At 45.1% G+C, this 12722-nt stretch overlaps 3 annotated features.

Annotated features, from left to right (window-relative positions):
* Positions 5788-6296: an enhancer, noted in NCBI's record as "H3K4me1 hESC enhancer chr13:46497435-46497943 (GRCh37/hg19 assembly coordinates)". NCBI's record gives its function as "activates a minimal SCP1, AML or CMV promoter by ChIP-STARR-seq in naive H9 embryonic stem cells {active_cell/tissue: H9 hESC(naive)}" and the evidence as "EXISTENCE:reporter gene assay evidence [ECO:0000049][PMID:30033119]".
* Positions 6297-6804: an enhancer, noted in NCBI's record as "H3K4me1 hESC enhancer chr13:46497944-46498451 (GRCh37/hg19 assembly coordinates)". NCBI's record gives its function as "activates a minimal SCP1, AML or CMV promoter by ChIP-STARR-seq in naive H9 embryonic stem cells {active_cell/tissue: H9 hESC(naive)}" and the evidence as "EXISTENCE:reporter gene assay evidence [ECO:0000049][PMID:30033119]".
* Positions 6814-6863: an enhancer, noted in NCBI's record as "active region_7683". NCBI's record gives its function as "activates an Ori minimal core promoter by ATAC-STARR-seq in GM12878 lymphoblastoid cells {active_cell/tissue: GM12878}" and the evidence as "EXISTENCE:reporter gene assay evidence [ECO:0000049][PMID:35858748]".

Genomic DNA, 12722 nt, shown 5'->3' on the forward strand with positions numbered 1-12722 from the left:
CTTTGGAAGGCCAAGGTGGGCAGATCACTTGAGGTCAGGAGTTTGAGACCAGCTTGGCCAACATGGTGAAACCCCTTCTCTACCAAAAAATACAAAAATTAGCTGGGTGTGGTGGTGCACGCCTGTAATAATCCCAGCTACTCGGGAGGCTGAGGCAGAAGAATCTCTTGAACCTGGGAGACGGAGGCTGCAGTGAGCTGAGATTGCACCACTGTACTCCAGCCTGGGCAACAGGGCAAGACTCCGTCTAAAACAAAAAATAAATAAACATGAAATTCATTTATATTTCATATGCACCTCATACATGTAGCCTAGAGGTAATTTTACACAATATTTAAAATAATTTTGTGCTCGAAACAGTTTGTATACATTGAGCCATCAGAAAGCAAAGGTGTCACTATCTCAGTCACCCATGTGGACAATCTGGTTGTTTGGCATCACCATCATTCCTGACTCTGAATTTATGTTACCAATAAGCAATCATTTTCTTACACTTATTCACACATAGGTACTTAACAGTGAAAAGAATGACACACCATTAACACAGTGAACGCATAATGCGTTCAGGGTAACTCAGCCACACAGTAGCATTACCAGAACACCTGTATCAACTGTTACACAACAGCAACAGCAAGTAGCAGGCTTTTGGTCTCCACCTATGATGCTGTATTTTGATTAAAAGGCAACTGCAAACTCTATTTTTTTTTTCAGGTGAGAAGAAACATCAGAAGCAGTTGAGGGACCAGAAAGTGGGTCCTCTAGGGTTGACAAGGCATTCTGCTGGATGGCTTCTTTAAATGTCACCTCCAGAGTCATCGGCCTCATTAACAATAATTTTTGTCTTAAAAGTGTCTCTTTGATTTTATAAACTGACACGATTTTCTGTTCTGTTATAAATGCATGCTGCTCTAGTCCTGCAATAAGCTCATTGCACATTTTCACCCTGCTGTCGGTCGGCACTTTTTGTGTAGTACTAACAACTTCATCTTCATCATCACTATTGTCATGATCTCCTTGATTCAGAACCATTTAGGCTATTTCACCAATGGTGAATGAATGAACAACTGGACCCCGATGATAGAGGTTAAAAACTTCTTCAATATTCACTTCCTCCAGCTTACTGATGGATTCTAAAGGAAACTTTTTCGCATGCATAAGGAAGGCAGACATCATTTTTCTCTCACATGACATATGGAATCCTTCAAAGTCACCATCTTATTCATCACCATCACTGAACACAGTCGCAGGTCTGAGACTGTGACTCAGGTACGCACCACTGTGTCTTGAGTCACTGTGTTCCAAGCACTGGTAACAGGATATAGGCATCTTTCATGCTAAACTCTTTTTGAAAAAGCTTCCACACCCATACCTCTGTTCACTGCTGCTAGCATGCTGTTCAAGAAAGGGTTCTTATGTTTACTCTTCATAGATCTAAGGTTACACTGGTCACATGGCTGAATTAATGAAGTCACATTTAGTGGAAAGTACATGGCATCAACATTATTTTTGATGAGAATTTTCAGCTGGAGGATGAGCAGAACAGTTGCCAAGGAATAACAAAATCTTGCCATTGTCATCTAATCTAGGTTCCCCGTAGTTGAGCATGAGCCACTGGTACAAAATGTTTGTGAAATTAACCAGAAAAGATGTCCCTGGTGATGCAGGTCTTTTTTATTAGCATTATATTAGACTGGCAAGAAATTGAGTCCATGAAAACAGTGAGGATGCAAGCTTGCCTACCACAGCAAGATGACACTTAATGTGTGCCTGCTGCATTAGCACATCCCAGCTCAGTTATTCTGTCCTTGGCATCTGAATTCCTATAGGGACTGTCTCATCAGCTGTAGTCAGTGTCTTTTGGGGGCTGTAATGCCCAAACAGTGATATTTCATCAGCATTGGAGAGTTGTTCTGGCGTCAAGTTTTCATCAGCAATGACCTTGGCAGCCTTGTCAATGAGTTTCTCCGCTGCTTTGTGATCAGTAGATGCTTTAGCACCATGAGTCCTTAAAAACTTAATGCTGTATCTTTTCTCAAATTTCTGCAACCAGCCTGTTAAATACTCACAGTTCCCTTCAACCTTTAGTTTATTGTGATAGATCTTTGCTTGTTTCACGATCGGCATACCATCATGTTACACGTGTTCACTGCAACACTGATGAATGCGTTCCTTTAATACATGATCAAGATCTCCATTTTCAGCTTTATGCATTATTTCTCTGTTTTAATTAACGTCTGTTCATCACTTTCAGCATAGAACTTCGTTTATCCTTCTGTTTCATGGTGGTCATTCCAACGCCATAATCTTCTGTAAGATGTTTTACGCTTACACTGCTGTCCAATTTCTCCAACAGCTTGACTTTCTGTGCTATAGATAAACATAGATGCATCCTTTTTTTTCTTATCTGCATTCCCCATAGGGATATATGCAGGCCTTTTTAACATTTTCAACAATATCCTTATACCACAGAGCAGAGAATAAGCAAAACAGCACAGTGCGTAATGCACATAGATCTTTGTCCCATGTAGGGCATCATGGGCTGCATGCTATCGTTGCATCTGGCCTGCACACATGCCATTTTATGACACTTTGTGGGTGTGCTTGCATGGGGAATCTGAGCATGCGTGGAAAAGATACATCCAGACTAAAAGGAGCTGGGGTGTCTTTTTCCCCTTGGGGATGCTGAATAAACTGTGTGTTGTGCGCCTGTGTTTTGACTGTGACCTGTCACATGAGGTCAGGTGTGGACTTTCCCACTTGTGGCATCGTGTTGGTGTTCAAAAAGTTTCAGATTTTGAAGGATTTAGGGTTTCAGATATTCAGATTAGAGCTGCTTATTCTGCATTATTATTCTGCAGAGAGTGTATACGTAGTGTTGGAGGGAGGATGAAAAGGAGGGCAGATGTGGAAGTAAGAGGGGATCTTTGGGCACGATCAAAAAGTGGCTCAAATGTGATCAAGGTCTGCCATGAAGCCCTCCAAACTCCCTCTTTTTTAGGGTCCTGGGCCAACCTTCTAAATTGACAACATTAGTACAGCTAATTTAATGAAACTTACACAGTGGGAACTCATGGACCCCCTTGAAAATACAGTGAAAATTAGGGATGCCCCTCTAGAGGCATATATGCATATAACACACACACTAAATGACAGGCCACATCATGGAAGCACTGCAGCCCCAGTCTGGAGCCCCTGGTTAAGAAGTCTGAGGTAGGCCGGGCACGGTGGCTCACGCCTGTAAACCCAGCACTTTGGGAGGCCGAGGCGGGTGGATCACGAGGTCAGGAGATCGAGACCATCGTGGCTAACACAATGAAATCCTGTCTGTACTAAAAATACAGAAAATTAGCCAGGCATGGTGGTGGGTGCCTGTAGTCCCAGCTACTAGGGAGGCTGAGGCAGGAGAATGGTGTGAACCCGGGAGGCGGAGCTTGCAGTGAGCCGAGATTGCGCCACTGCACTCCAGCCTGGGCAACAGAGCGAGACTCCGTCTCAGAAAAAAAAAAGAAGTCTGAGGTAGTACATGGTGGTCACTTATAATATTGAAGGAGGAAGAATGGGAAAGATAGATGGAGGGAGAGTTGTTTGCTAACTGTTCAACCTGCCGCCTCTTTGGGGTAATGTATCTGATATTAGCAGATGCCCTCTGAACTCAAATGTTGCTTTCCAAATAAGTGCCTTTGACTGGGGGAATGTTAGGCATGGTGGCAAGGAATAAGATTGGGATAGGGGTGTATTTCAGCATCTTTCAAATCACATCCCAAAGCATTTTCCAGCTCTTCTTATCTGTAAGGGAAACTGCAGAAATGTTCATTTTAAAGACATTCAAAATCCCAAAAAGACCATTTAGTGGCTGGAGATTATCTAGTGCTGATAAAAGCATAAATGTGGTTAAATCAGACAAACAGACAAGCCAGGATGTGTGTATGACATATTAATTTTCAGCCTGTTTCTGTCACTCTCCCTGAGCTTATGAGGTCTGTGACACATTTGTGTTGTATTTAGCTGTCACCCAGCTGCAATTTCCACCTTTCCTTGGAGTCACACTCTGGGTTGACTGGTTCAGAAAGAAATTCACTGTGACAGCTTTTGTGGCTGTGGGCATTTCAAATCCCTCTGATGATGTTACTTGGTTTGAAATCAGATTGGCAAGTAAACAACACCTTTCCCTGAACAGAAAGAGAGATAATTAGAACATACCGGATGGCAGGTATCCAGGAACACAGAAAATTTCAAAGGGCTTTCTCTGATATTCTGAACGTTTATCCCCTCTAAGGGTACCAAGCAAAAGAGGTGGTAGGAGAGTGTGCCCGGGAACAGGGCAGCCCAGCCTGTCTGACCTCCAGCCTGTTGTGCACCAGGGCTGCCCTCAGGCTAGTTCACGGGAGGAAGGGTCAAATGTCAGGTGGTCACTGGTCTAAGCAATGACAAAACAGGGAGAGAGGAGACAAATGAAGATGAGAACCATCACCTCCCTGCCCCTTACACTCACTAGGCAGGCTTCCATGGCCCAATGATAACCTGAAATCGCCACTTCAGCCTCCCTGACCCTGTAGCTGCCACCCTCCCCGACCCTTCATCTTTCCTGACACTGACAGTGAGCCTCAGCCCCACTGCCTTTGCTCCTATGTGCACTAAGTGCTCTCAGGTTAGCCCTGCATCTGTTCCTTCAGCACTTTGTGAGCAGAGACCTCCCACTCCGGACCATGCACACAGCTGGGTGTGGTGGGTCACACCTGTAATCCCAACACTTTGGGAGGCTGGGGCAGGAGGATCCTTTGGGGCCAGGAGTTTGAGACCAACCTGGGCAGCATAGTGAGACTCCATCTCTACCAAAAATTCTTTTTAAAAACTTAGCCGGGCATGGTGGCATGTACCTGTAGTCCTAGGTACTCATGAGTTTGAGGCAGGAAGAATCGCTTAAACCTAGGAGTCCAAGGTTTCTGTGAGCTATGAACACACCACTGCACTCCAGTCTAGGCAACAGAGTGAGACCCTGGCTCTAAAAATAAAAATAAGCAATAAATAATTTTAAAAAGGTAATGGCGAGGCATAGTGGCTGACACCTGTAATCTCAACACTTTGGGAGGCCAAGGCAGGAAGATGGTTTGAGCTCAGGAATTTGAGACCAGCATGGGTAACATAGTGAGATCCCATCTGTACAAAAAAATCAAAAAATTAGCCAGTTATGATGGTGAACGCATGTGGTGCCAGTTATTCGGGAGTTAGGTGGGAGGATGGCTTGAGCCCGGGAGGTCGAGGCTGCAGTGAGTCATGATCACACCACTGCACTCCAGCTTGGTCAACAAAGCAAGACACTGTCTCAAAAAGAAAGAAAAATTTAAAAAATGAAAAGGTGTGAACTGGATCCATGTAGATCTATAGTTAATACTGACAGATTATAATGTTGAACCAAAAATAAATAAGTAAATAAAAAATAAAGCAGCAAGGCGCGGTGGCTTATGCCTGTAATCCCAGCACTTTGGGAGGCCAAGATGGGCGGATCACTTGAGGTCAGGAGTTCAAGACCAGTCTGGCCAACATGGAGAAACCCCGTCTCTACTAAAAAAAAATACAAAAATTAGCCAGGTATGGCAGTGCGCACCTGTAATCCCAGCTACTCGGGAGACTGAGGCAGGAGAATCACTTGAGAATCAGTTGAACCCAGGAGGAGGAGGTTGCAATGAGCCGAGATCGCACCACTGCACTCCAGTCTGGGTGACAGAATGAGACTTCATCTCAAAAACAAAAACAAAAACAAAAAAGCAAGTTGCAGATCAAGCACAGAGACAGGAGACCACCCTGTACTTGTTCTCTTAGCCTTTTTTTGAAATGCTGGAGCAGCAGCTAGCTTGCCAAGTCCTAAGACTGTCTCTGATGGAGAGGGACTCCTTCAGCTATCCTCTGCCCGGGCCCCTTTCCCAGGAATAGCACTGACCATTGAGTCTAACACCAGCCTCTAGAAGAAAATGAAAGGGAAAGGGAATCTAGCTGAGGTGCTGGCCAGCCATGCTGGTAAGGTGCCTGGTTGGAGCTGCTGCATTGGAGCCACAGGTACCTTCGCTTCCTGACCATAAGCTAAGCCACTCGACCTTCAGAAGCTCTGGTTTCATCATCCATAAGGTCTAACTCACAGGACTGTTGAGAGGACCAAATGAGATAGCACATGTGGCAGCGCCTAGCAGATAAAACGTGCCATTGCCCACCACCTCCATTTTCTTCATATTCTCCCAGGCGGTGGGAATGCAGACACTCAACTGCCAGTGGGCAGTTTGCGAGTGGGCCGTGGGGTGACAGCCAGGGCAGCCCACAGCCCCCCATGCAGACACAAGCCTGAGGGGTCCCCGGCCACCGCCTGGCCCTGCCTGTCTGCCCACTTTCCCCTCCACTTGTTTCGCTGCTCCCTGTTCACCCTCTTCATCCTTCCCCATCTTTCAATGAGGAGGGGAGAAAGGAATGTGTTACTTACTACATACTATGGATTGTGCTCTGTGAGTTTCATTAACTAATTTAGTCTCAGTAAAATCACCATTTTATAGATGATGAAAAGGGTGTGGAGTTTGAGTAACTTGCTCCAAGCCACAGGGATAGCAGAGGTGGGACCAGGCTTTACACTCTGGCAGGCTGACTCCAAATTCTCTGCTGTTAAACTTACTATTCTATCATTCAGTAGTTCTCAGAGTGTGGTCCCGGGACCAACAGTATCAGCATGACCTAGGAAATTTTTAGAAATGCAAATTCCTGGGCCCCGCCCCCAGACTTACAGAAACTGAAGCTTTGGGGTGCGGCCCAGCCATCAATGTGTCCCCAAACCCTCCAGGGGACTCTGAGCACACTGAAGTTTGAGAACCTCTCTCCACTGTGTCTCCCAGCAAACCTGGTGTCCCATTGTTTTCTAAGTTGAAAAACTTAAAAAATGAAATCGGCTACAGCTGATAACATCTTGTTTTTAAGGGTATTGGTTGCAATTTGATGGAAAATATTGATGTGGAGGTAAAGAGTGAGGCTGGCTGGGAAAATACAGGCCTGTCTCCAGGTACTTGTTGAGAGGGGAAAAGAACCATAGGTGCCAGGGAGAAACCTGGGTCTCAAATGGGTCTCTTTCTCATTCCACACTTTTGACCTGCTCACGCAAATATTTTCTTAAACCCTCTATTAGATTGCTGTCTCCCAGGCAAGGCCTTGATCATTAATAATGCAGTTCAGCACAAAAAGCCTGGAGATGCTCATTTTATTTTATGTTTATTCTGCTTCTTTCATTCCTCTTGACACAAAGGCCCACGCATATATATATATATATATATATATATATACACATACACTTATTACCCTTGATTCAACCTTATGTTTACAAAATCCATTTCTAAAAGTTTTTGAGCATTGGTGTTTCTCAGAGCTGTCATGTATGGATGCACAGGCTGTGCACTGCACAACTAGGAGGAGCCATTTACAGATGCAACTATGCACCTGGCCCCTGGAGTTGTGTGATGCTGCGGCTCTGCTGCTAGTGCTGCTGCCTCTCACCACCCTGACAGCTGACTTTCACTGTCAGTCTTCTGCCTTCCTTGTTGGCCTCACCTTCTCATCTAAGCCTTGCCTTCTTTTTCTCTTCCAAGCCTCTCCTGCTTCAAATTCTTGCCTCAGGACTGAGGGCTACCCGGCCCCTGCCTCACCCCCTGTCCCCAGGGGCCTCTCAGTCTATACAATGTTGAACTTGCCTGCTCAGGGCTCCACAGGCTCTGGATTTCCAAGATAGAGCAAAGTCTCCTGTGGGCTCTCTGGCTCTTCACCATTCTAAACTCCCCAGGGCAAGTAGGAAAAGTGAGACTGTCCCAGATAAAGCCACCAGGAGGTGATGTCTGGCTGCTACTAAATATTGTTAGTAAATGACGAGTTCCATTTATGTATGTATTTATTTATTTAGAGCCTGGAGTGCAGTGGCATGGTTATGGCTCACTCTACCCTCAACCTCCTGTGTTCAAGCGATCCTCCCACCTCAGCCTCCAAAGTGTCTGGGACCACAGGCATGCACCACCATGCCTGGCTAATTTTCTTATTTTTTTGTAGAGCTGGGGTCTCACTATGTTGCCCTGGTTGGTTTTGAACTCCTGGGCTCAAGCCATCCTCTTGTCTTGGCCTCCCGAAGTGTTGGGATTACAGGTGTGGGCCACCACACCTGGCCAGAGTTCTTATGAGAAGCAAAAGCCTCCATGTGTCTGTATTATAAACATGAATGGACACCTGAGCAGCCCATGAGAAGCATATCTGGTCCTAGACAGTGTGAGGAAATGACAGTCGTGCCTACGGTGCCTTTGCTAATCCCATTCTGTGTGTGTGGTAAGGGGCTGGGCAGGAGAGGGGAGATGATCTTATATGAGAACAGCTGCTGCCTCTTAGAAGTTTGCTTCCTTGGCTTCACCTGGGAGCTCACGGCTCCCTTACGCATCTGTTTCACATTTATTTCTTGCGTACCTAGGGGTTGTCTGAGTGTTTGCTTTTGGAATTAGAGGAGAGAAAGTAAATAAAATATCAACTCTGGATATTATAGATCCTTTTGATTAGCATTTAAAACCCTTCAGCCATGTGTTCAGGGCTGATTCCCTCCATCCAGGGGCTAAGTGCTGGCCATCCACCATGTTTTAAAAAGCAGGAACCAGCCAGGCACAGTGGCTCATGCCTGTAATCCCAGCACTTTGGGAGACGAGAGCATCACTTGAGGCCAGGAGTTTGAGACCAGCCTGGGCAACATAACCAGACCTCATCTCTACAAAAAAAATTTTGTTAATTAGCCAGATGTGGTGGTGTGCACCTGTGCACCTGTAATTGCAGCTACTCAGGAGGCTGAGGATGGGGGATCTTTTGAGCTTGGGAGGTGGAGCCTATAGTGAGCCATGAACCATTATTATACCACTGCGTTCCAACCTGGGCAGCAGAGGCCTGTCTCTAAAAATAATAATAATGATAAATAAGTAAAGTAAAGTGAAAATCAGAGACTTGCTTCTGTTATTTTCTCCAAGACAAGTTTACTGGTTCTAAAAGGCATTCTCAAAGAACCACCCTCTGGGGCCCCTCCCTATGTTTCTGTCTCTTCAATATAAATTCTTCCATGGACAGAAAAGAATTTGGCTTTCAGTTTGGCTCTACTGACCAGTTCTGCGTCCTTAAGAAAACATTTAGGGTCTCTGAGCCGCTTGGTTTCATCCATTTATTTTCCACCTATAACATGGAAATAATGAAAACAATTGCATTTGCCTCATGGGGTTGTTTAGAGGATGCCAGCAGACTTTTTCTGCAAGGGGCCAGATAGTAAATATTCTAAGCTTTGCAGGCCATAACAGTCTTTGTAGCAACTACTCAACTATGCCCTATTAGGGAAAGCCACCACAGACAATGCATCAAAGAATAGAGTTGGGTGTGTTCCAATAACAAAAACACGCAGCCAGCAGAAATTGGCCCACTGGTGGTAGCTAAATCAAGCAGATGACGCAAGAAATGTGTATGAAAGTAAACTGTAAAGTGCCATCTAAAAGTGAGGGTGATGAGGTAAAGAGGCCACGCAACAGGCTCAGTGATACAGACTTGGTACAGACTGGACCTGTTAGCAGAAGCCTTGGTCTTTGTGCATACCCACCTCTCTTGAGAGCCTGGGAGAGGCGCAGTTGGGTCCAGGGGAGCTGGACGTGCTGGTCAGCAGGGGGATCTTCTTGCCCAGTGGTTTCCTTGTTCATGGAATAAGCATAAGAATGAACTTGAAGCTCAGGGCAAAAAGTGTCTACATGAAGGCACCAAATGATCTATCTGAGCTTTGGCACCAGCTGTTTACAGCCATGGTTGGGAAAGGCAGTGCCCACATCTGCAGACCTTGGGGGAAGTTGGATCGGTCCATCCTGCTGTGGAAAGAGGAGCTTCTAGTACCAGCCAGCTCAGGGGAGGCAACCAGGGAAGAGTCCCCAGGCCCTTTCCAGACAATCCTGCTAATTTCCACAGAAGATGACAGGACAATTTCATGACCCCCAAAGGAGGCAGCATGAAGTCACGGAAAGATTAGGAGCTGTGGGGTGAGGTGGGCTCAGATCCCAGCCCCATTCCCAATCACCATACCATAAAGGTACAATCTTCAATGGCAGGTAACCACTGAGTAAAGCAGATTGCTTTTATGATAGGAATGGGCCTAGTCTAATCTGTTGAAGGCCTAAAGAGACCAAAAGGTGGAGAAAGAGAATTTGCTCTCTCTGCTTGACTGTCTTTGAGCTGGGACATCGATCTTCTCCTGCCTTTAGACTTGAACTCAGACTAAGACTTATACCACTGGCTCTCCTGCTTCTCAGGCCTTTGGGCTTGGACTGAAACTGACACCACCGGCTCTCCTGGGCCTTCATCTTGCTGACTGCAGATCCTGGGACTTGCAAGCCTCCAAAGCCCTGCGAGCCAATGCCTTACGATAAATCCCTTTGTATAAAGGCTCCATCGCCTGTTGTTTCTGTTTCTCTGGAGAACCCAGACTGATATAAGCAGCTAACATTCCTTGAGCTCTGATTTGCCAGACGCTGTGGTAAATGCTTGCCAAGCAATTCTCAGGTAACCCCTACCTCCACCAGATGAGAGAAGCACCATTGTTCTTCTTCCCTCAGAGATGGTAATGACCTTTCCTAAAATCACCAAGGTAGTGAATAGTAGAACTGGAATTCGACACTAAATCTGCCTGACTCCAAAGTACATTATTCCATACCACTCTGGGCTCTCCATTTTACCGAAGCCCAAGGCACTGATCTCCCTTGAAACTGTCAGCCACCTCTACCCAGCTGCTGGCCCACAGTCCCACCTGCCCTTACAGCGCTCTGTAATTCATTGACTCACCAAGTGCTGAGCATGGACTAGTGTGCTCCGCCACGTGCAGGGCACTGGGTGTGTAGTAATGAGCAGTTGTACATAGCTCCTGCTCTCTCAGAGCCCACAAGAAGGAGTCCTTCCTTCAAGGGAAGAAGATGTTAGTTGCACAGGCAATTGCTGCCCATATGATAAGGGATGGAGTGATGTGGAAGTACAGAGCATAGGAAGCACAGAGCTATTTGGAGGAAGAACAGCTGCAGCGAAACCTAAAGAATGAGAAGGTGTTTAAGAGGCGAAGAATAGACTCTTTGGAGTCAAGAGGTGTATGAATGTGTTCAAGTGATGGTTTGTAATTCTATTAACTACAACATGCCCTTCTCTGTGAGATATATATATATATATATATATATATATATATATATATATATATGTATTTGTAGTTGATGTTGCTATGTAAAAATATTTTGTTAAGGCTCCTTTTCAGTAGTATAATCTACCTATATACATAATTTTTAAAAACCAGTATAAAATCCCAATTGTAATATAAAGGGGAAACAAAAGGAAAGTAGTTTCAGTAAAATAATCTGCATCTCCATATGCAATCGCTCAAGCATAACCACACTAGTGTAGTGAAGTAGACAGAAGTTAGCACCTCTCAGTGGAATTATAGTGAATGTGATGGTCACGTGTTATGTTGGCAACTCAAATACCATGAGCAGCATTGCCAACATTGCTGTGAATTTCATAATGATTAACAACCTTGGTAATCATCCAAATAAAACAAACTATAAATCTTTCTTTGATTTACAGAGTTGTTGCATCCCTGGAAATCTTAGCTTGTGCAAAAAAACCAAAAACCAAAAAGCTTTGTGTTTATATGTCCAATGGAGTTTGCACCCCTGTTTTACAGCCACCTGGGGCCCAGACAGGGACTGTGAGACTCAGATTATTATAACTAATTTTTCACCTATCTAATGTCTGTTGGGACATTCAAAATGATGCAGGTCATGGGATAATTCTTTTGTTGTGCTGGACTGCTTCGCTCTGGCCAATGTGGGACTTCCACGTTCTTCATGCCCAACGCACTCTATGTGGTAGCACCTCCTCCAATCAATGTGGCAAAGAGTCCCTCAGATTTTCCAGAGGGTCTTTTAGGAGTGGTAACTGCCCCCCTTAGAGAAACACCAAGCTAAGGAAGCTCTGAAGCAAAGGTGTCTAAAAAAGAAATAAAATAAAATAAATGAAACCATTGAAATTAACTTTAATAATATAATTTATGTAACCCCATATATCCAAAATTCTTTCATTTCATACACATAATCAATATAAAACATCATTAAAGATATTTTACATTTTTTGTACTGTCTTTGAAATCCAGTGTCTATTTTTTGTGGGGGGAGGGGTCAGGGTCTCCCTCTGTTGCCCAGGCTGGAGTGCAGTGGTGCCATCATAGTTCACTGCAGCCTCGACCTCCTGGGCTCAAGAAATCCTCCCACCTCAGCCTCCTGAGTAGCTGGGACTACAGGCACATCCCACACTATACTGGCTAATTTTTTATTTTTTGTAGAAACAGAGTGTCGTTATATTGTCCAGGCTGGCCTCAAACTCCTGGCCTCAAGCAATTCTCCCACCTTGGCCTCCCAAAGTGCTGGAATTACAGGTGCGAGCCATCTCAACTGGCTTCAATATGTGTGACTGTACATGTGTGGCACATCTCAGAGGAACCTGTTTCAGACACTCAGCAGCCGCAGGTGCTGGAGGCCGCCATATTGGATAGTGCCACTCTAGAAAGTATCTGGTCCCTTTCTTCAGCACAGGGCTTCTTTTTGAACACTCAGTTTCCCAGAACTTTTATACTTAGGAAAACACAGACTCAGGTTTTCTAGACAGGT

This window comes from Homo sapiens, chromosome 13, assembly GCF_000001405.40.
Source record: "Homo sapiens chromosome 13, GRCh38.p14 Primary Assembly".
NCBI classification, from domain to species: Eukaryota; Metazoa; Chordata; class Mammalia; order Primates; family Hominidae; genus Homo; species Homo sapiens.